This window comes from Homo sapiens, chromosome 1, assembly GCF_000001405.40.
Source record: "Homo sapiens chromosome 1, GRCh38.p14 Primary Assembly".
Lineage (NCBI taxonomy): Eukaryota > Metazoa > Chordata > Mammalia > Primates > Hominidae > Homo > Homo sapiens.
In genome coordinates this window covers 20,652,589-20,666,032 of record NC_000001.11, presented here as the reverse complement: position 1 = coordinate 20,666,032, position 13,444 = coordinate 20,652,589, and the positions used below count along the sequence as shown (strand labels likewise).

The following is a 13,444-nucleotide window of genomic DNA, read 5'->3' as shown; positions in this document are numbered from 1 at the left end:
GAAACGGCCCAGCCCGGGCGCTGGTGCTCAGTACAGAGTCTCCTCTTTGCTCCAGTCTTGTCTCCCCTGGCCCCTAGTAGGCACTCAGTGCATGGCTCAGGGGCCTGGCTGGGGATGCACGGGTTTAGGCCTCACTAGTTACGCGCCAGCTTCCTGGCGAGTCACACGCCAGCATTGTGACTTCCTCCAAATGCAGATTGACTTCACTTATCAAGGGCCACAAATGCAACACACGCTTTTAAGAATTAAGCATCACTTCATTTTATCTGCTTTTAAAACTGAAAGCAAAGCCCGCAGAGCTTCCAATAAAATAGCAATAAAAAGCAAATCTTGGCCAGGTGCAGTGGCTCACCCTTGTAATCCCAGCACATTGGCAGGCTGAGGCGGGTGGATCACTTGAGGCCAGGAGTTCAAGACAAGCCTGGCCAACATGGTGAAACCCCGTCTCTACTAAAAATACAAAAATTAGCCGGGCGGTAGTGGCGTGTGCCTGTAATCCCAACTACTCAGGGGGCTGAGGCAGGAGAATCGCTTGAGCTTGGGAGGTGGAGGCTGCAGTGATTCGAGATCCTGCCACTGCATTCCGGTCTAGGCGACAGAGTGAGACCCTGTCTCAAAAAAAAAAAAAAAAAAAAAAATTAGCTGGGTATGGTGATGCATGCCTGTAATTACAGCTACTTGGGAGGCTGAGGCATGAGAATTGCTTGAACTCGGGAGGCAGAGGTTGCAGTGAGCTGACACAGTGCCACTGCACTCCAGCCTGGGTGACAGAGTAAGACTTTTTCTAAAAAAAAAAAAAAAAAAAAAAAAAAAGAGCAAATTTGAGTTCTATATATTGAGGTTATTTAAGAGACAGAATGGGTGGGGCGGGGGGAATAGGATTAATTGAGTGCCTGGCATTGTGCCCATGTTGCAGATGAGGAAACTGAGGCTCAGAGACGAAGCAGCTTCTCTAAGGTTGTAGGAAGCAGTGGAGCTGGGCTTTGAACCCAGACTTGTCTGGCTTGAGATCCCAGGCTGCCTCAGTCTGATGCTTTAAAACCCCAGCTCCCCAGCCCAGCCTCTTTGGATGCAGACATAGTTGCTGGGTCTGAGACCTCAGCCAGAGCAGCCTCGCAGAGCCTGGGGTCCCAGCTGCAGGGCCAGGGCCTCTGGCTGGGCAGGGGGGCGGGAGTGGGGTGGGCCAGGCTCTCCATCCTACCCACTTGGGGCATTTTCTCTCCATCCCTGCGCTCCTGGCTTACCAGCACCTCTGCCCTCTTCCCCACAGCACATCACAACTCGCCACCAGGCCTCAGCTGCCCACTCAGCAACAACTCTGCCATCCCACCCACCCAGGCCCCTGAAATGCCCCAGCCCCGGCCCTTCCGCCTCGAGTCCCTCGACATCCCTTTCACCAAGGCCAAGCGTAAGAAAAGCAAAAGCAACTTTGGCAGTGAGCCTCTGTGAGCACAGCTGCTTGCCATTGCCTGCCTTATAGGCATGTAGAGACTGCCAGGCCCTCCCAGGGCAGCCCCAACCAGGTCTCCTCCCACCTGCCACACAGCGCTCCGGGGCCTGAGGGCTCCCTCAGCCCTGGGAAGACACATTCCCTTCCCTGTTCCCCAGAGAGCCCACCTCCGCCCTGGGCAGGAGCCCCTCGGAGGCTGTATAGTCCTCCTTAGAGAGGCCTGCTCCAGCTGTTCATACCACATCAGTGTTTCCGTCTGCTCACCTGCCACAGAGCCCACACCCATGCCCACCAGTGTTGGTCTTTGCCTCAAAGCCTGAGACCTGCTTCACGGCCTTCACCAGCCCTGATGGAGAGGGCAGCAGCTGCCACGTGGAGGAAGCTCAATATCAGCTGGGAAGGAACTGTGCCTCTGTCTGACTGGCCCCACTTCCTAAGCACTGCCCTGCCCCATGGGGTGGCACAGGGGTCCCACAGCAGGTCTTCCTGCACTGCCCACCCCTGGCTGGTCTGTGGCCCAAGGAAGGCCACTCCACATTAAGCTGCCCAATAAACTGCTTTTAAGATAAGCTCCCCTTCTCTGACCCTCTGACAGTGTCACTTGGGGCCCCTCCCTGCCATTGTGGCCTGGCTATTCCAGGGAAGTTCTTTCTGGAAAAAGGGTTCTTTTGCCTGGGACCTCCAGGGTTTCTGCAGCTCCCTATAATAGTGAGTACATTCTTCTGGGAAGAGCGTCTGAATTTTCATTAGATTCTCGAAGGACCTGTGACCCAGGAAAGCAAGACCCCTTGTTGTGGAAAATAGGGCCATGTCTCACTGAGGCCAGAAAAGGGCCCAGCTTTTGACAGTCCTGGGGGCTGTGCTGGGACTGGGTGTCCTGATATAGCCAGAAATGAATCCAGGCCACCCTGTTTGTGCCCACATAGGGGGGTACCTAGGACACAGCCTTCCCCTTGCACACTCTATCCCAGGCCAGTCCTGTGGGGGGCTCCACAATCTAAGGGAAAAGGCTTGGCCTTTGGCACAGTCCTGGAACCTCATTTCACTCTGAGCCTCATCTGTGAAATGGGGATAACGCCCACCTCACAGGGTTAATGTGAAGATTAAATGAGATAGTATGTAAAGCTCCTGGGGCATAGCAGGTGCTCTGTGTTAGTCCTCCTCCTCCCTATTTTGTATCAATTTCTATGGCAGGCCCCACAAGCCACATGCCTGGGCCAAGGAGCACACACTCTTGAGAAGCTGGGGTGGGGGTGTTTAGACAACTACAGAGATATCCAGCCAGAGGCAGGCAGCAGTACGTCCTGAGTCAGAGCCGGTGAGATCAGGTCTTTTAAAAATTATTTTTATTTTCTTTGAGACTGAGTCTCGCTCTGTCACCCAGGCTGGAGTGCAGCAGCGGGCAATCTCAGCTCACTGAAGCCTCCACCTCCTGGGTTCAAGCGATTCTCCTGTCTCAGACTCATGAGTAGCTGGGATTACAGGCGCCCACCACCACGCCCGGCTAAATTTTTTGTATTAGAGATGCGGTTTCACCATGTTGGCCAGGCTGGTCACGAACTCCTGACCTCAAGTGATCTGCCCACCTCGGCCTGCCAAAGTGCTGGGATTACAGGTGTGAGCCACCGCGCCTGGTCGATATCAGGTCTTTATGGGGAACAAAGAGTGCCTTTCTGAAGGGAGCAGTGCTGGGTGGGGCTCCCAGAAAGGATGGAGAAGATCCCAGGAGGTTTAAGATGGGGGTGTAAGGAGGGCGCTCCTGGCGGAGAGCGCTGCAAAGCAAAAGGCAGGAGGTGTGGAACTCAGGGTGTTAAAGGCTGGGCCATTCCTGTTCCATGGAAGCCCTGAGCAAGGACTGAGAGGGGACGAGGCTGCTGAGATGAGTGTAGGTGGAGACCTGAGAGCAAAGAGCCTTGGGGTGTCCCTGTGCCGTGGCCGACTCTTAACAGTTTAACACTGTTGGCTCTGAATTAGAGGCGGGCGGATGTGGTACTGTGTGTCGAGGGTGGAAGGGCAGGAGTTAGGGTGCAGGAGCCAGGAGCTCTGCAGAGGCTTAACTTGGGGCAGAGCCAGTGGGAATGGAGAGGAAGTAGAGTCCGTTAAGAAGATGTATGGAGGGAGGTTTTGATTTTTGCTCCATTCTTGGGTTGGTGGACAAGTGTCCGAAAGGAACTGCTACCTTCTGTCTCTACAGTTGCCGTCACCATTGGCCTCAGGATTGTGGTTGGGACCCAGAGGACGGTGGAAGTCTTGCTGCTTGTGGTAGTTTTTACTTAAACCCCTGGTGGACAAAGGCAGGTCTGAGATGAACCGGGTGGCCTCTGTATTAACCTAGAAGAGGTGGGAGCCACATTATTGAATGGATGTTCACTCTAGCCCGGCGCTAAGTGCTTCAAAACCTGCCATGTTCCTCCCAAGAGCCCAGAGATGAGGTAATTAAATGGCTGTTCCTAAGGCACACAGATAAACAGCGGAGCTGGACCTCGTCCTTAGTCCTATTTACAGCCAGGGAAACTGTCCTGGAGAGAAGTGCAATGCCCGGGTAACGGCTAGTGAGAGATGCAACTTGGAAATGGAACCATCGCTAGGCCAGTCTACTGCCCATCCACAGTCTCCAGCGTGGGCCACCGAGCTGGGCAGCACAGGCCCGTCCATGCCATGGCCCCTGGAGCCGTGAGCGGCAGGAAGGAGGCTCCAAGTGCCCTGACCCTGATCTTATTCTTCCAACTCCTCCTCCCTAGAAATGGTGGAGGTGGGGCCTAGTTCCTGGTCCCGAGCCTTCCCAGGCCCAGTGAAGACCCCGCCAGCAAGAAGGTGGCCAAACACCCTGTCCAGGACGCGACGGTCAAGCCCGGGGAGGACCCCGCAAGCTCCAGAGGGAAGTGGGCTCCAGACTAGGGGGCGGGAGGCCGGCCTGGGCGGAGCAAAGGGCGCTCGGCCTCGTTGATTGGCCGCGGCTGCAGAGCTGTCTCTCTAGGATTGAGCCTTTTCTTTAGGGGGACGGGGCCTTGATTCACTCCCACCAATAGGGTTCAAGGAATCCACCTCCCACCAGGGCACTTCCGGCGGCGCTCTCCGCGCCTTATCGCCAAAGCTGCGGCTCTGGACGCCCAGCCGCGGCGTATCCCGATCACTTCCGGGTAGTGCTCCACGGGCACGAGCCGCGATTGGGCTACCGTAGATGGGGTACTTCCGGTGTGCACGTGCTGGGTCCTTCGGCAGGAGGAGGAAGATGGAGCCCAGCACCGCGGCCCGGGCTTGGGCCCTCTTTTGGTTGCTGCTGCCCTTGCTTGGCGCGGTTTGCGCCAGCGGACCCCGCACCTTAGTGCTGCTGGACAACCTCAACGTGCGGGAGACTCATTCGCTTTTCTTCCGGAGCCTGAAGGGTGAGAGCGGGGTCCGAGGGGGTAGCGTGTGGGGGCCTGGGGTTGGTACAGCATCGAGGGCATTGACCACTCTCCTTCCCTCTCCCTTTCCTGGAGCAGGCCGCCCGGGTCTGGCCTGCCGCTTGGCGTGCGGGTCCGCGATGTCTGCAGCAGGGGTTTCCCTTCGCGTCCCGTCTTCCTCAACTACCTGTTTTTTCTTGTCCAGACCGGGGCTTTGAGCTCACATTCAAGACCGCTGATGACCCCAGCCTGTCTCTCATAAAGTATGGGGAATTCCTCTATGACAATCTCATCATTTTCTCCCCTTCGGTAGAAGGTAAGGGTTCCGCGTCGCCCCTAGCACTGGAATTCGAGACCCGGGACTTGATGGATTGCTTTCTTCTGGTTCTTGGGCATGTCCTGGGTCACAGGATGGGTTGCCAGTCCTGGATGGTGCTACCACGGAGATAAGGAAAATGCTCATTTCTGACCTGACCCTAGGAGGGTACATCTTTCTAAAAGAAACAGCTAAGGATTGTGGAGTCAAGTGTTGCTGCAGACCGTGGAACCCAGGGCCCTGCTGCTCTGCTGAGAAGGGAGTTTACTCTGTAAAGGGCCTGATAAAAAGATGGAAAGCTCCTGGGTTGGGTTTGCCTGGGTGGAAAGAGGAAATGGCCTGTTATTAATATGGATTGCTATAAAGAGGCATTGTGCATTGTGGCAGTTGATCTTAAGAATTCAGATAGATTCATAGTCTCGGGCTGAAAAAAGAGCCTTAGCAATTATCTACCACCCCACCCCTCCTCCCATTTGAGGCTGGATAAATATGTCCAGCAGCCTTGCAGTGGGCTAGTCGTTTAACAGAATGAATATCTTGGCCAGATTATCCAGTTGATACTTGAGTATTCTTGTTTTACGAGGCAATCCACTCCACCACTGAACAATTCTGTTAAGAAGTTCTTATATTAAGAAATATTGTCTCCTGCTTTATTTTGTTCTTATGCTCCCCAGCACCTTAGAGAATAGATAGAATGCTTATCTTGTTTGCAGGCATAGCCTTCACATAATCACAGCTTATTCGGTTGTTTCTCCTCCAGACTGAACATCCCCAGCTCCTTAGCTATTTCTCTTTTGCCATACTTTTTTGGTGAGCATGTTAGTCATTCTCTTCTTTATTTGCTTCAGTTTATCTTTTTCTTAAAAGACTCAAGTTGTCCCTGTCTGGGTAAGACAGGACTGCCTTCCTCCCTTCAGTTAATGAAGCTTAGGAAGTTCTTCATTGGTGCCTTTTTTGTTTGTTTGTTTTTTTGAGACAGGGTCTTGCTTTGTCCCCCAGGCTGAGTGCAGTGGTGCTATCATGGCTTACTGCAGCCTCGACCTCCCAGGTTCAAGTGATCCTCCCTCCTCAGCCTCCTGAATAACTGGGACATGGCTTCTTTATTCTCTGTAGTTCATGCGAGATTCAGTTCCACCGAATCCCTCAAGTACTTTCCCTAGGCTTCTGTTACTTACTGTGTCACTCCCAACTCCCTTGCAACATGTGCTTTTGGAATTGGCTTTTTGGAGGCAAGATTAGTTAGGCGGATGTCACCCCAAATTGGTAGAAGTTGAAATCTTCTGATGACTGGGCTTCGGTGCAGTAACTGGTGTTTGCCAAGTTTTTGCTGTGTTTGAAACTTTGAAATAGGTACCTTACAGTGGACTGGGTGAGATCTTAAGGATAGGGAGTCTGCCCTGGAGGAGTTTTTTCAGTCTGTTTTTGAGGAAATAAAGACCTGAAATGAGTTACCAAACCCTGTGTCAGGATGTAAGATGAAGCGGAGGCACTGTCAGCTTGTATAGGTCAGAAGGAAAAAAGCAGTGAATGAGACTGCTCGGGAGAGGGCTGAGAGAGGATACTGTTGGTGGGAGAAACGACAGAGAGTGTAAAACAGTGTTTCCCAAACTTTAGTCATTTGCACACGTCCTTCATGGTTTTTACCATGTTACGTATCTCCTGTGCTAATAACTACCTAATATTTTTCTTCAAATTGACCTGCTTAAAAAAAAAAAAAAGAAAAGGCTAGGTATGATAGCTTATCCCTGTAATCCCATCACTTTGGGAGGCCGAGGCAGAAGGATTGCTTGAGTCCAGGAGTTTGAGACTAGCCTGGGCAACATAGTGAGACCTCATCTCTACAAAAAAATGAACAAAATTAGCCGGGCGTGGTGGTGCATGCCTGTAGTCCCAGCTACTGGGGAAGCTGAGGTGGGAGGATTGCTGACCCTCGGTGGTCAAGGCTGCAGTGAGCTGAGATCATGCCAACTGCACTCCAGCCTAAGCGACAGAGCAAGACCCTGTCTCAAAAAAAAAAAAAAAAAGAAAAGAGAAAAAAAACTAAAACAACATTTTAAAAGGGAAACAATAGCGAGCCCAGAATTACCACCGAAAATGGAAATCCAGTGTCATCACTTGATGTACGTAGAAGGTAACTATAAATAGAATAAAAACAACACCCGTAAGTTCTAGCCAGATGCTGCTGCCTGCCGAAGGCTTTGAACCTGAGGTTCCCTCTTGAAAAAGGAGATTAGCAAGCATTAGAAGCTCTAACAACTAGTATCAAACTAAGACATTCTCTTTGATGGAGAAAGCTTGAAAAATAAGGAAAGGGAGTAACTTTCTGTCTCTGAGATTCAAGGTTATTTAAAGCCCGGTTCCCGCATTCGCGTTGCTGCCTTTTCTGCCTCTGGTGGAGTGGGTTCCACACTTTGGAAGGTGCTGCTGTGGGAAATCCTCAGGCGTTCCTTGGGAGGAAGCTGCAGGGCAGGGTTCGGGGTAGGGGTTTGGTGTCTGCTCCCAGGGCCCTGCCCTCGTCCCATGACTACTGTCACTGTCACCCTCTCAGGTGAGTGAGTGCTGGCCTGGCTTCCCTGTCTGTGCCCCAGTGGCTTCTTTGCCCTCTGGCATCGGAAGGCTCCCAGGTCACTGGCAATCATGTCTACAAGGGAAGAAATTTTCAGCACATCCTCTATACCCGGGAAAAACCGGATCCCTGTTATAGATGGGGAAGTGGGTTCAGAAGGGTGAAGGGATTTGCCTAGTTTTAACTCCAGGTGGTCTCGATTTCAAAGCCCGTGTTCTGTCAGCTTTACAAGAGTTTCTCAACAGGTGCATTCTTGACGTTTCAGACTGGATAATTTTATAGTGAGGCTGTCCTGTGTACTGTAGGGTGTTTAACAGCACCCGGGCCTCTGCCCATTAATGCCAGTGGCCACTTCCCTGTTATGTGACGGCGAAGAAATGTCTCCAGACATTGCTCTGAGGGGCAAAATCGGCCAAGATTGCAAACCACTGCACTGTGCCAATAGGCTGCTTTTGGAATGTCCAAGACTGCCTGGCCTCTCCAAAGGAGAGTAGATAGATGGCTTTTTGAATGTAGCATGAGAGGCAGAGGTAGAGAATATAGGAGCTTCTGCGTATGCCTGAAAGTCAGTCAGGTAAGGCGCTTTTAGTTTTCTGCTGAAGATTACCCCTCAAAAAACAGGGCTCTTATATTCAGATCTTTACAAAGTCATTTCCACCTGCTACTGAGGGTCTAATGGACACACTTCTCTGTCCAGTCTCAGAAATTGGCATGTCCGTCCTTCCGGTTGCTCAGCCAGACTCCTTGGAGCTTTTCTAATGCCCCTGTCGAAGCATCAGCAGGCCCTGCGGCTGTGCCATCAGAAGGCGTGGAGGCCTGCCGCGCCTCCCTCTGTTGCTGCTCCAAGGTCGGCTCAGCACTCTTCACTGCCTAGATTTTCACAGTGGCCTTCTAACCCATCACCATGGCCACTTTCACCCTCGTACCCTAGTCTCTACCCCGCTGCCAGGATCGTCCTTCAAAAATAGGAATGAGATCCTGCCAGGCCCCTGCTCAGAATCGTCCAGCGGCTCCCCACGGCAGGTCCCTCGTGTGGGGTGCAGAGCCCTGCGCAGCCTGGGCCCTCACTTCACCCGGCCTTACCTCCTGCTGCTCACTCCTTTCTCTCCAGCTAAGCCACACTGGGCCCCTTGCTGGTGACCGTGCCCACCCCCCTCGGGGACTTTGCACCTGGTGTTCACTGTGCTGGGAATCCTCTGACCCCACAGACTGCCTGGCTCACGCTTACATCTTTTCAGATGCCACTTGCAGGTCTTCCTTAAACAACCTTGGCACAAGAGCTCCCCTCCCACATTGTCCACTTTGTTTTTCTTCTCGGCTCACAAGAATTACTCATTTAATGAATAAATGGATTACTGAGCACTGTCTTCATTACCTTAGGTTGAATATCAGAGTACACTTTGGGGAGACTCTGGAGCCTCAAATAGCCCCACCCAGTGCTAGTTTTAGATGCTTATGGCAGTAGTCACATGATCCAATTAATTGACCAGAAAAGGATAGGATCTCACAGTTACAGATGTTGGAAATTAATGAGCCCTTTTGGTGATCACTTTTTAAAAAGCAGTGTACTGGGTAGCTCTGTTGTGGATGTCATGGATAGAATCTGTAGGATTAATAGGGAAAAATGGATTAATGCCAGACCAGGGAGTACTATTGTCAAGTGATGGCATCACTGGAGATGCAGAAGTGCTCTTCCTCAGACCATTTAGACAGGGTGGAATTGACAGGCTCTGGAAACTGGCTCCAGTGATCAGCATCACTAGCGTGAAAGGTGCAGGTGATGAGATGAAATATGGGCAGTACGGCATTTCCAAATGCATATTTCCTATGTGAGTTGAAATGTGTACAGCTTACTTGACCAGTGCAATTAGTGGATGTTTGACTGTTTCCTCCAAACCTCCAGAAGTTTCTAATTCTGAGCCATAATTTTGAGTCTTCACGCTGCGAGGATGGGGCCTTGCCCGTTCTGGGATGTGGTGTGGGAAGCCTCTCCCTCATTGTGGCCCCCAGAGGGTGCTGCTCTGTGAGTGATCGTGGCTGCTCTGCCCTTCATGTCCCCTCCCTGCCAGTGTCAGAGGAGCAGGGAGAGGAGACCTCTGGGTCACTGTGTCTGGTGCCTGCTTTCAGATTTTGGAGGCAACATCAACGTGGAGACCATCAGTGCCTTTATTGACGGCGGAGGCAGTGTGCTGGTAGCTGCCAGCTCCGACATTGGTGAGTCCGACCTGGGAGGTTCTGGTGCTTTCCACTTCTCCAGGGAGTTGGAGAGCATTACAAACAGAAGCTGCCAAATTAGCATTCACTGGGTGGGCCTTAGCTGGGGAGTCAGTGAGGGAACCGTTTTCTCAGTTCAGAATCTGACTCCTGGAGGCAGAATACCACACTGCTGTCCAGGGGTCCATCTGGGGCTGAGCCCAGCTGGATGAAGCTGCAGGGCACTGGGGCTGACAGAGAGGGAGTCACAAGGAAGCCAAGGACACTTGGCCCAAGGCCCCCCTGTAAGGGCTCAGCTAGGTGTCTCTTCGGTCTGTGCAGGTGACCCTCTTCGAGAGCTGGGCAGTGAGTGCGGGATTGAGTTTGACGAGGAGAAAACGGCTGTCATTGACCATCACAACTATGACATCTCAGACCTTGGCCAGGTAATCAGGCCTGTCACCTTCCAGGTTTCAGGGGCATATGGCAAAGCTCTGCTTAGCCAAAAGCCAAGAGGGTGTGAGGAGGTTCTCCCTGGCTTGGGGAACCTTTTCCTGACCACCCACCTTTCCATCTACTCTTTGCAGCATACGCTCATCGTGGCTGACACTGAGAACCTGCTGAAGGCCCCAACCATCGTTGGGAAATCATCTCTAAATCCCATCCTCTTTCGAGGTGTTGGGTGAGTGAGTGAGCAGGGAGAGGACAGCAGAAACCTGGGGGAAGAAGGGGTCACTTAATTTTTTTGGGAAATCAAGGCAAAATTGTAATTCTTTAAGGGTACGTAGATGGGATTAATTTGTTATATCAAGGCCGAGTATAGTGGCTCAACCTGTAATCCCAGCGCTTTGGGAAGGCCTAGGCAGGAGGATCGCTTGAGGCCAGGAGTTTGAGAGCAGCCTGGGCAACACAGAACTCCTCTCTTTAAAAAAAAAAAAAAAAAAAAAAAACAAAAAAAAGTTGGCCGAGCGCAGTGGCTCACACCTGTAATCCCAGCACTTTGGGAGGCTGAGGTGGGCAGATCACCCGAGGTCAGGCGTTTGAGACCAGCCTGGCCAACATGGTGAAACCCCGTCTCTGCTAAAAATACAAAAATTAGACAGGTATGGTGGTGTGTGCCTGTAGTCCCAGCTACTTGGGAGGCTGATGCAAGAGAATTGCTTGAACCCAGGAGGCGGAGGTTGCAGTGAGCCAAGGTTGTGCCACTGCACTCCAGCCCAGGTGGCAGAGCGAGGTCTGTCTGAAAAACAAAAACAAAAACAAGTCAGACTCCATTGTTATATCAAGACAAGAGCTAAGTGGTTGGCAATTAAGAAAAAAGGATTCATTCCTGGGAAGAACTGGCTCTCGGGGATCCCATGTCCTTGGGCTCAGTTCCTGGGGCCAGTGCTGGGCTGCTCTCGTCCTGCTGCAGGATGGTGGCCGATCCTGATAACCCTTTGGTGCTGGACATCCTGACGGGCTCTTCCACCTCTTACTCCTTCTTCCCGGACAAGCCTATCACCCAGGTAAGGGCTTCACAACCTTGAGGCTTCGAAATAAAAATGAAGCAGAACAGCACATTTGGCTGAGGCGAAGGAAATGACTAGTTGGTGGGGTGGGGCATGGGCAGAAGCGGTGTGGTCTCAGGCTCCCCCTTCAGGTAGGGCCAGGGTCGTTTTGGTCTGGCCTGCTGTCCTCTTGTTCGGGAGGCGTGGCAGCTTTTCCCTTACTTGGAACTGCTTGGGTCACAGCCTCGTTTTGTTCCCAGTATCCACATGCGGTGGGGAAGAACACCCTCCTCATTGCTGGGCTCCAGGCCAGGAACAATGCCCGCGTCATCTTCAGCGGCTCCCTCGACTTCTTCAGCGACTCCTTCTTCAACTCAGCAGTGCAGAAGGCGGCGCCCGGCTCCCAGAGGTAGCTGCCAGGAGGCTTAGGGGCCGGGGATCCGGGTGGTGCAGTGTGTGTATATGGGGAGGACTCAGAAGGGGAAGAAGGAGGCTTTTAGCTAAAAGTGTCAGAGGCTGAGTGTTTCAGGTGCTGTCAGATTATTTCAGGGCTTTATTGCTATATTGCTGGTATTGGCACTTCCAATTTTTTAAGGTAGTAGTGACTTATCTAGAGATCCCTAACCTCCACCGTTCCTTTTAGAAATTTGTGTATTTGTTGTGCAGATGACAAGCAACCAGCCATATCTTTTCGTTTGTTTCCTGCGTTCCCTTTAACCATGAGTCCCTAGGTGCCCAAGGCCTACAGGCAGAACTTCGCTAGGGTACTGTCATGGTGGACATGAGTGGTCCTGCCCATCAGGCACCACTGGAAAGGTGGCTCTGGTGCCCAAGCTGCTCCTGTTTCCCTCCTGCAGGTATTCCCAGACAGGCAACTATGAACTAGCTGTGGCCCTCTCCCGCTGGGTGTTCAAGGAGGAGGGTGTCCTCCGTGTGGGGCCTGTGTCCCATCATCGGGTGGGCGAGACAGCCCCACCCAATGCCTACACTGTCACTGACCTAGTGGTAAGAGATGTTTGGGGTGGGAGGGCCCAAAGGGTTTGCCAAGCTGACTGAGCTCAGCTCAGAAGCACTTATTGAACACTTCTTTGCTGGCCTAAAGGGCATAAATAAAGATGAATAAGTTAATCCCTACACCTAAGCATGCCAGGTGAGATGCAGAGCCTGGCGTGAAAACTGATGTCCTAATAGGAGCACTTCTTTTGAAGAGGTGTGTGTATTTGCTATGGGGGGCAGCAGTGGGAGGGGCTTCACTGATTAACTCTGCCCAGGAAGTTGGACTTAATAAGAGAAATAGGTCATTAGGTTGAATTTGTTAGGCAAGAGAAAGCGAATATGGAAGCATGAATACTTGAAAGTGCCTGGCACATGTCGGGGCAGGAGGGTGGTTTGGGTCCAGACTTTGATGGGCCATGAATACTGTGTGAAGGAATCTAGGCCTTCAGAGAAGAGGCAGAGATGCTGTGTTGGGGGATTAACCTTGCTGAGGAGAGAGACTGGTTACTGATCAGGGCCGGGTGGCAGGGGCATCTGCAGGTCTTCTGAACTCCTGGGCATTCCTGCCATGTTCGTCGGGTGGGAATTAAGTGCAGCTCTGCCTGCAGGTGGTGGAAGGCCTCCAGTCATGGCCAGCCCTGGCTAACCTGGCCTTTTATCTCAGGAGTATAGCATCGTGATCCAGCAGCTCTCAAATGGCAAATGGGTCCCCTTTGATGGCGATGACATTCAGCTGGAGTTTGTCCGCATTGATCCTTTTGTGAGGACCTTCCTGAAGAAGAAAGGTGAGTGTAGTTCCTGCACGAGGATGCTGCCAGAAACGGCCCCAGGCCTCACTTGCTCTCGAGGCCCAACCAGGAAAAGCTCTGGGAAACCCCTCCCGGTTATTCTTGTTGGTTCTTCCGCAGGTGGCAAATACAGTGTTCAGTTCAAGTTGCCCGACGTGTATGGTGTATTCCAGTTTAAAGTGGATTACAACCGGCTAGGCTACACACACCTGTACTCTTCCACTCAGGTAAGCACAGGTGACAGCTTCTGTTTTCAGCT

At 52.1% G+C, this 13,444-nt stretch overlaps 2 protein-coding genes across 19 annotated transcripts in view, besides 5 other annotated features; both read left to right on the top strand.

Moving 5' to 3' along the window:
• The window catches only part of KIF17 (kinesin family member 17), a 56,378-nt gene extending 51,975 nt beyond the window's left edge, over positions 1-4,403 (top strand). For 5 of the 18 annotated variants that reach the window (XM_047426147.1, XM_047426146.1, XM_047426151.1 and 2 more), the window contains 2 exons: positions 1,271-1,408; positions 1,724-2,019. In XM_047426147.1, the coding sequence (XP_047282103.1) occupies positions 1,271-1,408; positions 1,724-1,870 (285 nt within the window). In that variant the 3' untranslated portion in view covers positions 1,871-2,019. Of the gene's footprint in view, positions 1-1,270; positions 2,020-3,644; positions 3,919-4,191 lie in introns of those variants that run through there. The other 13 variants (XM_047426150.1, XM_047426149.1, XM_047426148.1 and 10 more) reach the window with 5 other exon arrangements.
• Positions 3,446-4,365: an enhancer, noted in NCBI's record as "OCT4-NANOG-H3K27ac-H3K4me1 hESC enhancer chr1:20988161-20989080 (GRCh37/hg19 assembly coordinates)". NCBI's record gives its function as "activates a minimal SCP1, AML or CMV promoter by ChIP-STARR-seq in primed H9 embryonic stem cells {active_cell/tissue: H9 hESC(primed)}" and the evidence as "EXISTENCE:reporter gene assay evidence [ECO:0000049][PMID:30033119]".
• Positions 3,929-4,038: an enhancer, noted in NCBI's record as "active region_323". NCBI's record gives its function as "activates an Ori minimal core promoter by ATAC-STARR-seq in GM12878 lymphoblastoid cells {active_cell/tissue: GM12878}" and the evidence as "EXISTENCE:reporter gene assay evidence [ECO:0000049][PMID:35858748]".
• Positions 4,319-4,468: a silencer, noted in NCBI's record as "silent region_367". NCBI's record gives its function as "represses an Ori minimal core promoter by ATAC-STARR-seq in GM12878 lymphoblastoid cells {active_cell/tissue: GM12878}" and the evidence as "EXISTENCE:reporter gene assay evidence [ECO:0000049][PMID:35858748]".
• Positions 4,319-5,285: a biological region, named in NCBI's record as "OCT4-NANOG-H3K27ac-H3K4me1 hESC enhancer GRCh37_chr1:20987241-20988160".
• Positions 4,366-5,285: an enhancer, noted in NCBI's record as "OCT4-NANOG-H3K27ac-H3K4me1 hESC enhancer chr1:20987241-20988160 (GRCh37/hg19 assembly coordinates)". NCBI's record gives its function as "activates a minimal SCP1, AML or CMV promoter by ChIP-STARR-seq in naive H9 embryonic stem cells {active_cell/tissue: H9 hESC(naive)}" and the evidence as "EXISTENCE:reporter gene assay evidence [ECO:0000049][PMID:30033119]".
• The window catches only part of DDOST (dolichyl-diphosphooligosaccharide--protein glycosyltransferase non-catalytic subunit), a 9,593-nt gene continuing 812 nt past the window's right edge, over positions 4,664-13,444 (top strand). The window contains exons 1-10 of the mRNA NM_005216.5: positions 4,664-4,836; positions 5,042-5,152; positions 9,846-9,932; positions 10,254-10,357; positions 10,499-10,593; positions 11,326-11,419; positions 11,662-11,810; positions 12,259-12,406; positions 13,062-13,182; positions 13,306-13,412. Of these exons, the coding sequence (NP_005207.3) occupies positions 4,683-4,836; positions 5,042-5,152; positions 9,846-9,932; positions 10,254-10,357; positions 10,499-10,593; positions 11,326-11,419; positions 11,662-11,810; positions 12,259-12,406; positions 13,062-13,182; positions 13,306-13,412 (1,170 nt within the window). The 5' untranslated portion in view covers positions 4,664-4,682. The remainder of the gene's footprint in view (positions 4,837-5,041; positions 5,153-9,845; positions 9,933-10,253; positions 10,358-10,498; positions 10,594-11,325; positions 11,420-11,661; positions 11,811-12,258; positions 12,407-13,061; positions 13,183-13,305; positions 13,413-13,444) is intronic.